General features: G+C 42.9%; 1 protein-coding gene across 1 annotated transcript, besides 2 other annotated features; it reads right to left on the bottom strand.

Annotated features, from left to right (window-relative positions):
• Positions 1393 to 2037: an enhancer, noted in NCBI's record as "H3K27ac-H3K4me1 hESC enhancer chr6:90620440-90621084 (GRCh37/hg19 assembly coordinates)". NCBI's record gives its function as "activates a minimal SCP1, AML or CMV promoter by ChIP-STARR-seq in primed H9 embryonic stem cells {active_cell/tissue: H9 hESC(primed)}" and the evidence as "EXISTENCE:reporter gene assay evidence [ECO:0000049][PMID:30033119]".
• Positions 11062 to 11262: a silencer, noted in NCBI's record as "peak5956 fragment used in MPRA reporter construct". NCBI's record gives its function as "represses an SCP1 promoter by STARR-seq MPRAs in K562 erythroleukemia cells {active_cell/tissue: K562}" and the evidence as "EXISTENCE:reporter gene assay evidence [ECO:0000049][PMID:32103011]".
• On the bottom strand, positions 16638 to 18289 carry GJA10 (gap junction protein alpha 10). The gene has a single exon (NM_032602.2). It carries the CDS (start codon positions 18287 to 18289, stop codon positions 16658 to 16660), a length of 1632 nt encoding a protein of 543 aa, NP_115991.1. The 3' UTR covers positions 16638 to 16657.
• Between the last annotated feature and the right edge of the window lie 443 nt (positions 18290 to 18732).

Genomic DNA, 18732 nt, shown 5'->3' with positions numbered 1-18732 from the left:
ACCCTCATAGCTCACTGAACCACTGCACAGTCTCCTACCTGATCTCCCTTATTCTACTCTTACCCCTACAATTGATTCTCCAAAAAGAGTGATTGGTTTTTATAACATATGTATCAGCCCATGACTATCCCTGTGCTATCCAACTCAAATTTCTATTCACGGTCTCAAAGGCCTACACATCAGGACCCTGCCCATTCCAACCTCATCCCTATCCCTCCCCTTCCTGGTCACCGCCACAAGAGTGATCTCCTTCTGTAGTTCCAGAGAGCCGAGGACCTTTGCACTTACCGGTCCCTCTGCCTGAGAGGCCCCATCCACCCAGGACTTCAGCACCTTTTCAAGAGCCCACCTCTGATAACCTCATCTAAAGTAATACCATCTACTTCCCAGTGTCCCTTTGTCCACATCACTGTGTTGTTTTCTCCTAGCACCTAAAACTATGTGAAGTTGCTTTAAATATTTGTTTATTTTTCTCTACTGTGAGAAAAGGGACTGTGTTGTCCTGTGAGCTGTTATATCCCAGCACCCAGCATCCAGTGCCTGGTACCTAGTAAGCATTCAAAAAACACTTCACGGGCCAGGCTCACACTTGTAATACCAGCACTTTGGGAGGTCGAGGTGGGTGGATTACTTGAGCCCAGAAGTTCAAAGCTACAGTGAGCCATGATCATGCCACTGCCCTGGAGCCTGGGCGACAGAGCAAGACCCTGTCTCAAAAAAAACAAAAACAAAAAATTAATTAAGAAAGAAAGAAAGAACAGATTTGGGGGTGGTAAGAAGACAAATAAAACAGAAAATTTCTCTTTTTGGCCTATATATTTCTATGTTGCCTGAATTTTTACAATTTAAACACTTATTTGCACAAAATAAATATTAAGGAAACAAGTTTCTTTTTTAAAACTGTAGGCTAGGTCCTACAGATTATATGGTATTGGGAAGGGGAAAGTGTTTCTCTATGTTTCTAGGAGCAAGTCTTCTCAGTACATTCTTCATCTCCCTAACATCCTAAAAGATTGGAAGAGTTCACAGGGCAACTTTCTTCCTAATGCCAAAATCTCCTTCCTCTGCAGCCACAGTTCTGAACTCTGGCTGCAAATTAGAATCACCTGGGAGAGGCCAGGAGTGATGGCTCACGCCTGTAATCCCAGCACTTTGGGAGGCCGAGGTGGGCAGATCACGAGCTCAGGAGATCGAGCCCATCCTGGCTAACACGGTGACACCCCGTCTCTACTAAAAAATACAAAAAAAATTAGCCGGGCGTGGTGGCGGGTGCCTGTAGTCCCAGCTACTCCGGAGGCTGAGGCCGGAGAATGGCGTGAACCTGGGAGGCAGAGCTTGCAGTGAGCTGAGATCGCGCCACTGCACTCCAGCCTGGGCGACAGAGTGAAGACTCCGTCTCAAAAAAAAAAAAAAAAAATCACCTGGGAGCTTTACAAAAAAGAAAGAAAAAAGGAAGGAAGGAAAGAAAGAGGAAAAGAAGGGAGGAAGGAAGGAAGGAAGGAGAAAGAATGAAAGAACGAAAGAAAAAGAGAGAAAAAGGAGGGAGGGAGGAAGGAAGGGAGGGAAGGAGGGAGGGAGGGAGGAAAGAAAAGGAAAGAAAATCATGGCTCTATCAGATAGCTTTCTGACCTTCTAAAACACAATGGATTCCTTTCACAGGACAATTCTCTGTAAGAAACAGCATAAGTGGCCAAACAACTGGTTCTATCAGGAGTCATTTCACTCTGAAATGTCAACTGCTGTAATCAGAATGTATCTGGCTGAGTAATAGAAATTCTGCCATCTTGAACCTAATGCAACATAACAGGTAGTTTACAGTTCATTTATTGAAAGTAGAGGATTATTATTATTATTATTATTTTAAATCTGAATATTTAATTCAATTTCTCAATAAGATTCCATGGGGTGCTGGAAAAGATCTAGAAACTAGAAAAGATCCTAATAAAGAGGGAGACATCTGAGAGCAGGAAGTGTAGCAAGGAGACAGAAACCACAATAGCTCTGGTGGGAAACCATGATGGAGGCTGTAAATAGCAGACAAGACACGGAGAAAATAAAATTAACATGACCAAGGGCAAAATGATAAAAAGACGAAAAGAAAGAGGCAGGCGGTCAGACACGGGGGATATAACCTGGGAATAATCGGAATTCTGGAGAGAACAAAACAGACATAGGGAAAGCAGTATTCAAAGAAATGGGAGGGGAAAAGTTTCCTGCTGTAAAGAAAGAACTCAGCTGGAAACTGAGAGCATGTTCTGACTTCCCAGCAAAGTTAATGAAAAGAGGGCCCCGCTTAGACACACTAGGATGGAATTCTCAAAGTTAAAAAAGTTAAGAAAATTGCCGGAACATACACACAGACACACCCTTGAAATAGGAAACTGAAAGGGAAGAGAGATTTTACTTTACTTGAAAGTAGAGGATTATTATCCTTTGTTTGCTACACTAATTTCTTTTTTTCTCTTTTCCTTTTTTTTTTTTTTTTTTAAGAGACAGGATCTCATTGTGTTGCCAAGGCTGGGCTTGAATTCCTGACCTCAAGCCATCCCCCAGCTTGGCCTCCCGAAGTGCTGGGATTACAGGCATGAGCCACCGCACCTAGCCCCTTACACTAATTTCTAATGAAAGATCCATCTGTTTACAAGAAGCACCATGTGTCAGCCACTGGTCTGTGGAGTTGAGAGCTGCGGCCTCAATTCCCAAGTGTTTCCATCATTTGGGGAGTGAAGTGGGCTGTCATCTCTGTAAAAAGCTTGGGAAAAGGTGACCATAATTAGGAAAGCTCTGTGGTCAAAGGCATTATTTATAATTCCTAGAAACATAAAGAACAAAGAAGAAAGAAAAAAAATGAAATAAGAAAGAGGGCTCCAGTCTGTAAATATAAGGAGCTTAGAAGTAACCACTCTGCCCTAGCAATAAGTAGAAATCTGAACAAACTAAAAAATCAGCAATTCTTCTTAGATTTGTTAGAGAAGAGAGGTTACTGGACAAACCACTGCCTTCAAAATTAGAAAGTCTAGGGTGCAAAAGATTAAGACCCAGTCATAGGACTATAGAATGTTCCCCTCCCCCCATACTGACCACCACACCACTAAAGGTCTACTTACCAGAGTCTTTTCTCTCTTTTCTTTTTCTTGAGATAGGGTCTCACTCTGTCCCCCAGGCTGGAGTGCAGTGGCACAGTCCCAACTACTTGGGAGGCTGAGGTAGGAGAATTGCATGAGCCTGGGAGGTCGAGGTGGCAGTAAGCCATGACCATGTCACTGCACTCCAGCCTGGGGGACAGAGTGAGACCCTGTCTCAAGGGAAAAAAAAAAGGAAAGAGAGACAGGGTTTTGCTATGTTGCCCAAGCTGCTCTCGAGCTCCTGAGCTCAAGGGATCCACCTGCCTTGGCCTCCCAAAGTGCTGACATTACAGGTGTAAGCCACCACACCCAGCCCCACATTCTTTTCATCTCTACAAAATATTCACATTTCAACAAAAAAGCACAAAGCATACTAAAGGGCAAAAAACGCAGTTTGAAGAGACCCAACGAGCATCAGAATCAGAGTCAGATAGGGCACAAATGTTGGAATTATCACACCAGGAATTTAAAAGTATGATTAATATGCTAAGGGCTCTAATGGAAAAAGTAGACAAGATATAAGAACAGGTAGATAATGTAAGTTAGGAGATGAAAAGCCTAAGAAAGAATCACAGAAAAGTGCTAGAGATCAAAAACACTGCAACAGAAATAAAGAATGCCTTTGATGGGCTCATTAGTAGACTGGACATGGCCGAGGAAACAATCTCTGAGCTTGAGGATATAAAAATAGAAACTTCCAGGACTGAAAAACAAAGATTAAAAAAGACTAAAACAAACAAAAACAAAATAGAACAGAATACCCAAGAACTGTGGGACAATTACAACAGGTATAACACACATATAAACCAGAAGGAGAAGAAACAGAGAAAGGAAGACAAGAAATATTTGAAGCTATAATACTAATAAGCTCCCAAATCTGATGTCAGACACCAAACCACACATCCAGGAAGTCCAGAAAACACCAAATGGGATATATGCCAAAAAAAAAACTACTTCTAGGCTTATCATATTCAAACTTCAGAAAATCAAAGAGGAAAAAAGTCTTGAAAGAAGACAGAGAGAAAAAAAACACTTTCCCTACAGAGGAGCAAAGATAAGAACTATATTTAACTTCTCATAAACGATACAAGCAAGAAGACAGGAGAATGAAATAGTTAAAGCATTGAGAGGAAAACACCACACCACCAATCTAGAAGTCTCTATCCTGAGAATTATCCTTCAAAGTGAAGGAGAAGGCCAGGCGCAGTGGCCTGTAATCCCAGCACTTTGCGAGGCCAAGGCAGGCGAATCGCTTGAAGTCAAGAGTTCAAAACCAACCTGGCCAACTTGGTGAAACCCCATCTCTATTAAAAATACAGAAATTAGCCAGGTATGGTGGCACACACCTGTGATCCCAACTACTTGGGAAGCTGAGGCAGGAGAATCGCTTGAACCCAAGAGGTGGAGGTTGCAATGAGCCGAGATCACACCACCGCATTCCAGCCTGGGCAACAGAACGAGACTCTGTCTCAGAAAACAAACAAACAAAAAAAAAGTGAAGGAGAAGTAAAGACTTTCTTGGCCAAATAAGAATTGTAGGAATGTGTGGCCAGTAGCCCTGCCTTGTAAGAAATGTTAAAAAAGAGTCCTTCAGAGAGAAAAAAAATGATATAGGTCAGAAACTCAGATCTACATAAAGAAAGGAAAAACATTAGATAGGAAATAAGAGAAGGTAAAATAAGAACTTGTATCTTTCATATTCTTAAGAATAATGTACTGACACACATATGTATGTTTATATGTTTATGTATGTATGAAATGAGTGACAGCAATAATATAAGGACAGGAGGGAGGCATTAGGAATTTTTTTATTAAATGGTAGTTATACTACCATAAAGTGGCATAGTGTTATCTGAAAGCGAACTTGGATTAGTTGTAAATGCGTATTGCAAACTCTAGGACAACCACCAAAAAAAGTTTTAAAGGAAGTATAATTAATACGTTAAGGAAGGAGAGAAAGGCCGGGCTCAGTGGCTCACGCCTGTAATCCCAACCCTTTGGGAGGCTGAGGTGGGTGGATCATGATCGTGGTCAGGAGTTCAAGACCAACCTGACCAAAATGGTGAAACCCCATCTCTACTAAAAATACAAAAATTAGCCGGGTTTGGTGGTGCATGCCTGTAATCCCAGCTACTCAGGAGGCTGAGTCAGGAGAATCGCATGAACCCGGGAGGCGGAGGTTGCAGTGGGCCGAGATCGTGCCACTGCACTCCAGCCTGGGGGAAAGAGAGAGAGACTCTGTCTCAAAGAAAACAAAAAAAGAAAGAAAGGAGAGAAAATGATGCCAGGCATGGTGGCTCATGCCTGTAATCCCAGCACTTTGAGAGGCTGAGGCAGGTGGATCACCTGAGGTCAGGAGTTCGAGACCAGCCTGGCCAACATGGTGAAACCCCATCTCTACTAAAAATACAAAAATTAGCCAGGCGTGGTGGTGCATGCCTGTAACCCCAGTTACTCGGGAGGCTGAGGCAGGAGAATCACTTGAACTGGGAGGTGGAGGTTGTAGTGAGCCAAGATTACACCACTGCACCTGCACTCCAGCCTGGGTGAGACAGCGAGACTCCATTGCAAAAAAAAAAGGAAAGGAGAGAAAATGAAATCATATAGAGTGCTCAATTAAAACCACAAAAGGCAGAAAAGGTGTGCATGACAAAAACAGGAGCAAAGAACAAGGGCGACAAATGGAAAATAGTAATAAATATACTAAATATTAATGCCATTATATCAATAATCACTTTTCATGCCAGTCATCTAAATACACAAAATACAGAGATTGTCAGAGTGGATCAAAAAACAAGACACAGATGGGGCATGATGGCTCACACATGTAATCCCAGCACTTTGGGAAGGCCAAGGAAGGAGGATCATTTGAACCCAAGAGTTCAAGACTAGACTGGGAAACATAATGATAACCCATCTCTACAAAAAAAAAAAATTAAAAATTAGCTGTGCTTGAAGCGGTGGCTCACGCCTGTAATCCCAGCACTTTGGGAGCAGAGGCGGGCGGATCACCTGAGGTCAGGAGTTTGAGACCAGTCTGGCCAACATGGTGAAACCCCATCTCTACTAAAAATACAAAAATTAGCCGGGTGTGGTGGCACCTGTACTCCCAGCTACTTGGGAGGCTGAGGCAGGAGAATCGCTTGAACCAGGAGGCACAGGTTGCAGTGAGTCAAGATCATGCCATTGCACTCCAGCCTGGGCGACAAGAGTGAGACTCTGTCTCAAAAAAAAAAAAAAGAAAGAAAAAAAAATTAGCTGAGAGTGGCAATGTGCACCTGTAGTCCTAGCTACTCAAGAGGCTGAGGTGGGAGGATCACTTGAGCCCAGGAGGTCAAAACTGCTGTGATCCATGATCATGCCACTGCACTCCAGCCAGGCAACAGAGTGAGACACTGTCTCTAAAAAAATAAAAATAAAAACAAGATGCATTATATGTTATCTGTAAAAAACCAACTTTGGCCGGGCACGGTGGCTCACGCCTGTAATCCCAGCACTTTGGGAGGCCGAGACGGGCGGATCACGAGGTCAGGAGATCGAGACCCCGGTGAAACCCCGTCTCTACTAAAAATACAAAAAATTAGCCAGGTGCGGTGGCGGGCGCCTATAGTCCCAGCTACTCGGGAGGCTGAGGCAGGAGAATGGCGTGAGCCCGGGAGGCGGAGCTTGCAGTGAGCTGAGGTTGCGCCACTGCACTCCAGCCTGGGCGACAGAGCGAGACTCCGTCTCAAAAAAAAAAAGAAAGAAAAAGAAACCAACTTTAAATATAAAGGTATATATAAAGTAAAAGTAAAGAAATGAAGAAAGATATATGATGCTCACACTAATCAAAAGAAGGCAGGAGTAGCTATATTAATTTCAGACAGAGAAGACTTCAGGAAAGTTATCAGGGATAAAGAGGGACAATGCAAATGATAAAGGGGTGAATATTCTGAGAAAAAACAATCCTTAATGTGTATGTACCTAACAACAGAAGATCAGAATATGTGAGGCAAAAACTGCTAGAACTGCAAGGAGAAATAAATGAATCCACTATTATAGTTGGAGACCCTAGCTTCATTCTATCAGAAATGGACAGATCCAGCAGACAGAAAAGCCAAAAGGACATAGTTGAACTCAACAGCACCATCAATTAACTGGATATAATTGACATCTAAAGCTGATGGGAGGATTGCTTGAGGCCAAAAGTTTAAGACCAATTTGGTCATCATAGTGAGACCACATCTCTATAAAATGTAAAATAATTTATTAACAAATTAAGGCCGAGCTCGGTGGCTCATGCCTGTAATCCCAGCACTTTGGGAGGCTGAGGAGGGCGGATCACAAGGTCAGGAAGCCGAGACCATCCTGGCTAACACGGTGAAACCCCGTCTCTACTAAAAATACAAAAAAATTAGCCGGGCGTGGCAGTGTGTGCCTGTAGTCCCAGCTACTCGTGAGGCTGAGGCAGGAGAATGGCGTGAACCCGAGAGGCAGAGCTTGCAGTGAGCCGAGATCACGCCACTGCACTCCAGCATGGGCGACAGAGCGAGACTCCATCTCGAAAAAAAAAATTAAAAAAGAAAAAAATTGACATCTATTGGCTACTTCATCTAGTAACAACAGAATACACATTCTTCTCAAGCTCACATGAAACACTTACCACGATAGACCACATTCTAGGTTGTGGTCTTCTCTCTTTTAAATTTTTAAAAATAGAAATCATACAATGTCTGTTTTCAGATCACAATGGAGTTAAACTAGAAATTAATAATAGCTGGGGCCAGGTGCAGTGGTTCACACCTGTAATCCCAGCACTTTGGGAGGCCAAGGCCGGAGGGTTGCTTTAAGCCAGGAGTTCAATACCAGCCTAGGCTACAAAGTGACATCCCAGCTCTACAAAAAAATTTAAAAATAAGCCAAGCATGATGGTGCACACCCATAGTCCCAGCTACTGAGGAGGCTGAGGTGAGAGGATCACTTGAGCCCAGAAGTTTGAGGCTGCAGTGAGCTAGGTGACAAGCGAGAGACCGTGTCTCTTAAAAAAAAAAAAAAAAGAAAAAAGAAAGATAGCTGGAAAATTCTAAAATACTTGGAGATTAAACTATACATTTATAAATAACACATAGGTCAAGGAGGAAATCTTGGAAAAAAACATATTTTCAACTAAACAAAAATGATAACACAACTTATCAAAATGTGTGAGATACAGCAAAAGCAGTGCTTAGGGAGAAATTTATAGCATTGAATGTATAATTAGAAAAGAAGAAAGATCTAGGCTGGGCATGGTGGCTCATGCCTGTAATCCCAGTACTTTGGGAGGCAGAGGCGGGAGGATCACCTGAGGTCAGGAGTTCAAGACCAGACTGGCCAACATGATGAAATGCCGTCTCTACTAAAAATACAAAAATTAGCTAGGCGTGGTGGCGAGAACCTGTAATCCTAGCTATTAGGGAGGCTGAGACAGGAGAATCACTTGAACCCAGGAGGCAGAGGCTGCAGTGAGCCGAGATCGTGCCATTGAACTCCAGCCTGGGCAACAAAGCGAAACTCTGTCTCAAAAAAAAAGAAAAAGAAAAGAAGAAAGATCTAAAATCATTTATCTACTTTTAGGAAACTAAAAAAATAATTAAATCCAAGGGAAGCAGAAACAAAGCAATAATGAAAATTAGAGCAGAGATGAATGAAATTGAAATAGGAAATTAATAGGGAACATCAACAAAACCAAAATCTACCTCTTTGAAAACATCAATAAAGTGTGTAAGTCTCTAGCCAGGCTAATATCATTTGCATATTTGTCCCTCCCCAAATTGTAATCCCCAGTATTGGAGGTAGGGCCTGGTAGGAGGTATTTAGATCATGGGGGCAGATCCCTCATGAATGGCTTGGGCCATCCCCTCAGTAATAAGTGAGCTCTCACTCTGGGTTCCCATGAGATCTGGTTGTTTAAAAGTGTGTGGCACCTCCCCTCTCACTCCCTCGCTCCTGCTTTCACCATGTGACATGCCTGCTCCCCCTTCCCTTCCACCATGATTATAAGTTTCCTGAGGCCTCCCTAGCAACTGAGCAGATGCCAGAACCATGCTTTCTATAAAGCCTGCAGAACGCTGAGCCAATTAAACCTCTTTTCTTTATAAATTACTCAGTCTCAGGTATTTCTTTATAGCAATCCAAAAACAGCCTGATATACAGGTTAACTAAGAAAAAAAGAGAGAAGAAACAAGTTACTAATATCACAAATGAAAGAGAGAACATCAGTACAGATCCCACCAACATTAAAAGAATAATAAAGGAATATTATGGACAACTCTATGCCCCCAGATTTGATAACCTAGAATGTACCAATTCCTAGAAAAGACACAATCTGCCAAAACTCACACAAGAAGATATAGACCATATGAATAGGCTTATATCTATTAAAGAAACTGAATCAATAATGATCAACCTTCCAAAACATTAGATCCAAATGTGTTCAATGGTGAGTCTAACAGACACTTATGAAAAAAATTGTATCAATTCTCTACCATCTCTTCCAAAAGATAGAAGCAGAAAGAGTACTTCCTAACTCATTCTATGAGACCAGCATTACCCTAATACCAAAACCAAAGACATGCAAGAAAAGAAAACTACAGACCAATATCTCTCATGAACATAAATGTAAAAATCCTCAAAAAAATTGTCAAATCAAATCCAACAATGTATAAAAAGAATTATAGGCCAAGTATAGTGGCTCACGTCTGTAATCCCAGCACTTTGAGATGCTGAGGCAGGTGGATCGCTTGAGCCAAGGAGTTCAAGACCAGCCTGGGGAACATGATGAAACCGTGTCTCTACCAAAAAATGCAAAACTTAGTTGGGTGTGATGGTGTATGCCTGTAGCCACAGCTACTCAGGAGACGGAGGTGGGAAGACCACTTGAGCCCAGGAGGCAGAGGCTGCAGTGACCTGAGATCATGCCACTGCACTCCAGCCTGGGTAACAGAGTGAGACCCTGTCTCCAAAAAATAAAAATAAAGGGCCAGGCACGGTGGCTCACGCCTGTAATCCTGCACTTTGGGAGGCCAAGGCGGGCAGATCACGAGATCAGGAGATCAAGACCATCCTGGCTAACATGGTGAAACCCTGTCTCTAATAAAAATACAAAAAAATTAGCCGGGCATGGTGGCAGGCACCTGTGGTCCCAGCTACTCGGGAGGCTGAGGCAGGAGAACGGCGTGAACCCGGGAGGCGGAGCTTGCAGTGAGCCGAGATGGCTGCCACTGCACTCCAGCCTGGGCGTGACAGGGCGAGACTCTGTTTCAAAAAATAAATAAATAAATAAATAATAAAAATAAAGAATTATACACCATGACCAAGTGGGATTTATCCCAGGTATGCCATGCTGGTTCAACATTCAAAAATCAGGCTGGGTGTGGTGGCTCACGCCTGTAATCCCAGCACTTTGGGAGGCAGAGGCGGGTGGATCACTTGAGGCCAAGAATTCGAGACCAGTCTGGCCAGCGTGGTGAAACCCCATCTCTACTAAAAATACAAAAATTAGCTGGGCATGGGGGCACATGCCTGTAATCCCAGCTACCTGGGAGGCTGAGGCATGAGAATCACTTGAGCCTGGGAGGCAGAGATTGCAGTGAGCCAAGATTGCACCTCTGCACTCCAGCCAGGGTGGCAAAGTGAGACTCTGTCTCAAAAATAAAAAAAAAATCAAAATCAATTAATGTAATCTGTCACATCAACAGGCTACCAAAGAAAAATCACATCCCATATCAGTAGATGCAGAAAAAGCATTTCACAAAATCCAACACCCATTGTGATTAAAAACTCTTAGAAAACTAAAAGGAGAACTTACTCAACTTGATAAGGAACCTCTACAAAAAAATCTATAGCTGACGTTATATGTACTGGTAAGAAACTTGAATCTTTCTCTCTATAATCAGGAACAAAGAGAAGGATATACCCTCTTACAACTGCTTTTCGAAATTGTCCTGGAAGTCCTAGATAATGCACTAAGACAAGACAAGATGAGATAAGACAAAAAAGTAAAGAAAGGGTATATGGATTGGGAAGGAAGAAATGACTGTCTTTGTTCCCGGAAATTATGGTTGTCTACACAGAAAAATCTGAAAAAACTGCACTGGCGCGGTGACTCAAGCCTGTAATCCTAGCACTTTGGGAGGCCGAGACGGGTGGATCACCTGAAGTCAGGAGTTTGAGACCAGCCTGGACAACATGGTGAAACCCTGTCTCTACTAAAAATACAAAAATTAGCCGGGCCTCGTGGCGCGTGCCTGTAATCCCAGCTACTTGGGAGGCTGAGGCAGGAGAATCGCTTAGAATCTAGGAGGCAGAGGTTGCGGTGAGCTGAGCTCGCCCCACTGTACTCTAGCCTGGGTGACAAAGCGAGACTCCGTCTCAAAGAAAAAAAGAAAGAAAAGAAAAATCAGAAAAAGTTGACAGAAAATACTCCTGGAGTATTTATAGTATTTATATCCTGGATTTCAAGATATAAGGCTAATGTGCAAAAGTCTATGACTTTCCTATATACCAGCAATGAATAAGTAAAATGTGAAATTAAAAACATATTACCAGTCAGGCTCGGTGGCTCACGCCGGTGATCCCAACACTTTGAGGCGGGTGGATCGCCTGAAGTCGGGATTTCGAGACCAGCCTGGCCAGCATAGTGAAATCCTGACTCTACTAAAAATACAAAAATTAGCCCGGCGTGGTGACAGGCACCTGTAATCCCAGCTACTCGGGAAGCTGAGGCAGGAGAATTGCTTGAACCCGGGAGGTGGAGGTTGCAGTGAGCCAAGATCGTGCCATTGCACTCCAGCCTGGGGCAACAGAGCGAGACTCCATCTCAAAAAAAAATTATATATATATATATATATATATATAATATTTATATATATATTATATACACACACACATACACACACACACAAAGAATACTTAAAACTCAACAATAAGATAACTTACCAAGGAAGATATAGATGGCAAGTAAGCATAGGAAATATGTTCAACAACATAGGTCATTAGGGAATTGCAAATTAAAACAATATACTAGCTGGGCGCAGTGGCTCACGCCTGTAATCCCAGCACTTTGGGAGGCCAAGGTGGGCGGTTCACTTGAGGTCAGGAGTTTGAAACAAGATACCACTACACACCTATTAAATGGCCAAAATCCAAAACAATGACAATAGCAAGAGTATGAAACAACAGGAACTCTCATTCATTGCTGGTGGGAATAAAAAAATGGTACAGCAACTTTGGAAGACAGTTTGGCAGTTTTTTATGAAACAAAGCTTACTCTTACCATATGATCCAGCAATTACGCTTTTTGGTATTTACCCGCATTAATTGAAAATTACATTCATATAAAAACCTGCACATGGATGTTTATAGCAGCTATATTCATACTTGCTAAAACTTGGAAGCAACCAAGATGTCCTTCAGAAGGTAAATGGGTAAATAAACTGCGGTACATCCAGATAAAAGAATATTATTCAGTGATAAAAAGAAATGAGCTATCAAGCCATGGAAAGACATGGAGGAAATCTAAATGCATATTACTAAGCATAAGAGGCCAATGTGAAAAAACTACATATTGTATGATCCAACTGTATGACATTCTGGAAAAGGCAAGGCGTTAGATTCAGTAAAAGATCGGTGGTTGCCAGGGCTTGAGGGAGGAAGGGATGAATAGGGGAAGCACAGAGGGTTTTTAAGACAGTGAAACTCCTCTGTATGATACTATACTGGTAAATCCATGTCATTATACATTTGTCCAGACCCATAGAATATACCACACCAAGGGTGAATCCTAATGTAAATATGGGCTTTGGGTGATAATGATGTGTCAGTGTAGGTTCATCAGTTGTAGCAAACGTACCACTCTGATAATAGGATGTCAATAGTTGGGGAGGTTCGCACATGTAGGGGAACAGTGGGTATATGAGCACTCTCTGTATTTTCCATTCAACTTCACTGTGAACTGCTCTAAAAAATAAAGTTGATAACCCTCTGTACAGTGACTCCATGGCTCTCAGCAGCCTTGAGTGGTGCCATCCCACCTGGCTCCCTCTGTTGTTATCTACTGTTTCCTTTTCTCTCCTGTCCTTGTATCTAAGTCAGGAAATAAGAGTGTCAAATCCCATTATGTCTCTAATTTGACAACAGGATTGGATGTTGTGTATTGTGGAGGTTTTTGTTTATATTGTTCCTAAGGTATGAAAAATAAAGGGGAAAACGTTGAATTGGAAGAAAACAAAATGCTGTAACATTCAAAGAGTAAATCAGGCCTGATTAGACGTTCATGTCTTGTATTTATAAGAGGTTAGTGGCCAGGCGCGGTGGCTCACACCTGTAATCCCAGCACTTTGGGAGGCCAAGGCAGGCGGATCACAAGGTCAAGAGATCGAGAGCATCCTGGCCAATATGGCGAAACCCTGTCTCTACTAAAAATACAAAAATTAGCTGGGCGTGGTGGTGCATGCCTGTAGTCCCAGCTGTTTGGAAGGCTGAGGCAGACTTGCTTGAACCCAGGAGGCAGAGGTTGCAGTGAGCTGAGATCACGCCACTGCACTCCAGCCTGAGGACAGAGTGAGACTGTGTCTCAAAAAAAAAAAAAAAAAAAAAAAGGTTAGTGATGCATTTTCTCAGTGCAAATTATTTTTTACTCCTACTTATATTTATGAATACAATATAGTCCATACAGAAAAGAAAAGAGACAGCCCATCAGTTTCATCATCTTCACTCCAGGATTCTGAGCTTGGCTGGCCTCTCCCAAAAGATAAACTGAAGGATTAAGAAAATCTATCTCGGCTGGGTGCGGTGGCTCACGCCTGTAATCCCAGCACTTTGGGAGGCCGAGGCGGGCGGATCACGAGGTCAGCAGATGGAGACCATACTGGCTAACACGGTGAAACCCCGTCTCTACTAAAAATACAAAAAAAATAGCGGAGCATGGTGGCAGGTGCCTGTAGTCCCAGCTACTCCGGAGGCTTAGGCAGGAGAATGGCGTGAACCCAGGAGGCAGAGCTTGCAGTGAGCCGAGACCGCGCCACTGCACTCCAGTCTGGGCGACAGAGCAAGACTCTGTCTCAAAAAAAAAAAAAAGAAAAAAGAAAATCTATCTCACCTAAAAACTGCCATATCTCCCTCAACAGTCTGCCAGTAAAAGGCTTCTCTTGCATGTAAGGTACAAGAAAAAGAAAATGATGAAAATTGTATTGCTGACTTTGCAAATGCAGATAAGAAGCAGTGGATGGTCTGAATGCAGTGAGTTATCCCAACTGATTGTTCACAGTCAGTTACAGATTGAACTCCTTGTTCTACTCTTTCCCCCCTTCTTACTACTGCACTTAACAGGAAGGAAGGAAAGAAGGAAAGGAAGGAAGGAAGGAAGGAACGAGGGAAGGGAGGGAGGGAAAGAGAAAGAAAGAAAGAAAAGGAAAGGAAAGGAAAGGAAAGGAAGGGAAGGGAAGGGAAGGGAAAGGAAAGGAAAGGAAAGGAAAGGAAAGGAAAGGAAAGGAAAGGAAAGGAAAGGAAAGGAAAGGAAAGGAAAGGAAAGAAAAGAAAAGAATTTCCTCATTGCCCAGGCTGGAGTGCAATGGTGCGATCTCGGCTTACCGCAACCACTGCCTCCTGGGTTCAAGCGATTCTCCTGCCTCAGTCTCCCCAGTAGCTGGGATTACAGGCATGCACCACCACGCCTGGGTAATTTTGTATTTTTAGTAGAGACAGGGTTTCTCCACGTTAGTCAGGCCAGTCTCCAACTCCTGACCTCAGGTGATCCACCCGCCTCGGCCTCCCAAAGTGCTGAGATTACAGGCGTGAGCCACCACACTTGTCCGAAAGAAAGGAAATTTTTAAAAAAAGAAGTAGCTGCCACTGGCCAAATAATTCTATTTTATTTATTTATTTTTATTTTTTAGAGACAGGGTCTCAGTCTGTAGCCCAAGCTGGAGTGCAGTGGCATGATCATGGCTCACTGCAGCCTCAACCTTCCAGGCTCAAGTGATCCTCCCAAGTAGCTGGGACTACAGGCATGCATAACCACACCTGGCTAATCTTTGTATTTTTTTTTTTTTTTTTTTGAGAAACAGGGTTTCATCATGTTGCCCCGGCTGGTCTTGAAGTCTTGAGCTCAAGTGATTCACCTGCCTCGACCTCCCAAAGTACTGGGATTACAGGCATGAGCCACCATGCCTGGCCTCAAGTTATTCTAAAACAGTGGTTCTTAACCCTGGCTGCACATTGCACTCACCATGGGAGTTTGAAAAATATTCATGCATGCATCCCACCCACAGAGATTCTGGTTTAATTAGAATTGGATGGGTCCCGGGCATGATGGCTTTTAAGCCTCCCAGATGACTGTAATGTATGGCAAGGGTTAAGAACCCTGCTCTAGTTTGGCATAGGTTTCTAAGCACCCATGCATTGATCCTAAACAGTCTCCTAAATAAATGGCTGGTCACTGACAAGAAATGAATATCAGTTTGAGAGAAGTATTTTAGTAAAAATCCAAGTAGGTTGATTTGAATTCATGGTATGTCTGTAGTACAGTAACATCAGTATCTAAACCCACAGGAGATGTAAAACTAGGGTAGAGGGATTCAGTAATTATCAACACAAAAAGTGGAACAAAGGAAGAAACAAGCAGGTGAGCTCAACTCAGAAGCTCTCCCACCAACCTTGGGGGAATTTTCTTTTTAATGGAAACAGTTGACTATTGGGAGCAGTGAGTAATCAAGTGTCGTCCTTTGTTCCAGAATTGAGAAGAATCCACAGTAAATATCCATTTCATGTTTATAATGGGTAAGAAATGTTTAATCCCACAGTGATTTTTCAGAGAACAAAATTAAAATCATACAATATTGATTCTTGTCTTTGTAAAATATATCACCAAATATTTGTATATGACTTTGAAATGTCAAAAGTATTAAAAGAATGAAGTACACACTCCTTTTTTAGTGAGATGAGGGCAACTCAAGTTACAAATGATCCCTCCTCTGGACTGTTTTCCACACTGTGACAGAAGGACTTTCTAAACTGCAACTCTGATCCAGTCCCTCCTCTGCTCCACATCCTCCGTCAGTTCTCTATGGCTTCCCTACAGGGCCTCCATGCCCACTTCTCCAGCCTTCCCTCCCTCTGCACCCTCCTACCACCCTGTGCTCCAGCCACACACAGCTCCTCAGACAGCACTGCTATGTCTCACTCTTAGGCTTTACCTGCACTGCTCCCTCTACCAGGACAGCTTCTTTCATGTGCCCCAGTCCTTCCGGTTTTGGAAAAACTTGCCACATCTTTCAAGATTCAGCTCAAGGTAACTTCAACTATGAACTTTTCCTGACCCATCCATATGATCACTCCCTCCTTTGCTCACTCATTCCCACTAACGTGACGCCTTACACTTGATATATTTACATTTTACCTGCCTAAATTTTACTCCTACATCCTGAGTCCTTTGATGTCAGAGACTGTATTTTACCCATTTACATGCCCAGCACTTATAAGAGCGATTGATATAATAAGATTTTTCTAAGTCTATTTTATGAATTGAATTTAACTGAATGTATCGAATGAATAATTTTATCTCTCCATAAATAATCTCCCCCTCCATCTGCCTCTCTGTCAACACAAACATACATACACACCCCAGGAAGAAAGAAAGGAAAAAGAAAGCATCCAGAATGGAACAGCTCTTGTGATAGTTCCATGATCGGTAGGGCTGCCTGTCTTACCATTGATGTTCTGTGCCCAGTGACTGAAGGCAGAGGTGAGGGGCTGTTTTCCCAGTGAGGAAAATCCAAGCAGGAGCTATTCCGAGAACCAGAGCTTCCTGAGTCACTGTGCAGATGTCGCTTTTCAGACAACAATCTGGACAGAAAGCTGGCCTTGCGACTGCCTGGGCGAGATCTGTCTATCCAGACCCCACTCTCTCTCATGCTGCCTTCACTGTCTCTGCAGTGACTATGAAGATCTGTGAGAGGCTCACCTGAGGGTTCTGGGTCCTGGGACTGCTCCCAGGTTCCTACTGCAAAGGATGGACAGTTTCTAGGAGCCGTAGTTGTACCTAGCCAGGACTGAGACATTGTATTCTGCAGGCCAAATGAGGAATGGTCTGATTGCTGTCCCAGGTGCTGATTTCCAGCACTGCCAGCCCAGGGACACGGGCTGTGAACATGGAGCTGTCCGCTATGCTGATCCTTCTCAGACCAGTCCTTTTTCCCATTGGAAGGGTCTACTTCAAGTTGCCTTGGCTGTGGGATTTGCCACATGGTTTTAGACTTTGGCACATTAACTCGAATGACTTGCTGTTGATTGTTAGCTTGAAGTGGAGAGATTCTTTCAGGCAATGAAGAGCAAATCATACACTGCTGGGCCACAGAATATTTCTTCAAATGGAATGGAGGGCCTGTTTCATCCTCAATGCCCTCACTGCTGGATTTCTTATAAAGTGTCCTCATAATTTTTCTGATGCCTAGATGAAATATTTCCAGTATATTGAGTAACAAGGAAATGGCTGCAATGCTGTGCATAAAAAGCATGAAAATTGTCTTCTCAGTGGGCCTGGATACAAAGCAATCCACCGCATTGGGGCAAGGAGGTTGAGTGCATTTGTAAAGGGGGTGCATTTGAAACCCATAGAGAATATATTGGCCTATCATGAATCCTACTTCCAGCACAGATCTGGTCAAGATGTGTAAGACATAAGTACGCAGCAGACATCCTTTCAGAGGGACTTTATGGATCCTCTTCTGCTCCTCTAACCTCCTCAGTTCCCTATCTATTCTTTGCTGCTCCTCCAAGTCAAGATCTGGATTCTCCATCTGGGCTCTAAGGTGTGACTTTTTCCTCTGCCTGTCTTTCTCAAAGGCCCTGAGCCTATAAAGTGCATGGCCCATATAGACCAAAGAAGGAGAAGACACAAAGATGATCTGTAAAACCCAGAACCTGATCAAAGAGATAGGGAATGCATCATCATAACAGATATTGTTGCAACCTGGCTGCCGGGTGTTGCAGGCAAATGCTGACTGTTCATCATCCCAGACATCCTCAGCAGCCACACGAAGTACCAGCATTCGGAAGATGAAGAGGATGGTCAGCCAGATTTTCCCCACTATGGTTGAGTGGGAGTGAACTTCCTCTAGGATGCCACCCAATAAGTTCCAGTCCCCCATGGTTAAAGACTAATGTCTGAAATATACAGAAAACACTGAGGTTAATAGCACCCATGGTGGTAATATATAGACACAAGCTCAAAAATACAGCAGGTTCTTTTGTATGTCAGCAAAATTATGAAGGATCTTCCAGCCCTAATATTTATAGCCCATGCTTAAAATAGGACATTTCCAAATATATTAATTTTTGAAAAAACACTAAATACCCCTCACAATTTCAGCAGTTTACTTCTTCCTATTCTCTTTTACTCTCCCCCACAAAGCTGCCTGTTATTCTAGTATACAAATAGGTCTCCATATTTGTACAATTCATTCTAATTGCACAATTGTATTCATTTTTCTATCCACATGAGATACGCTACTTACCATACATCTGACATGATCGTAAAGGAGTCTCAATTCCTCAGGAAGTGTTCCCTACCCATCCCAAGTTGTAGTTATTT

Source organism: Homo sapiens, chromosome 6 (genome assembly GCF_000001405.40).
Source record: "Homo sapiens chromosome 6, GRCh38.p14 Primary Assembly".
Taxonomy (NCBI): domain Eukaryota; kingdom Metazoa; phylum Chordata; class Mammalia; order Primates; family Hominidae; genus Homo; species Homo sapiens.
Note: the sequence above shows the minus strand (reverse complement) of the source record. Positions and strands in the feature narration are given on the sequence as shown.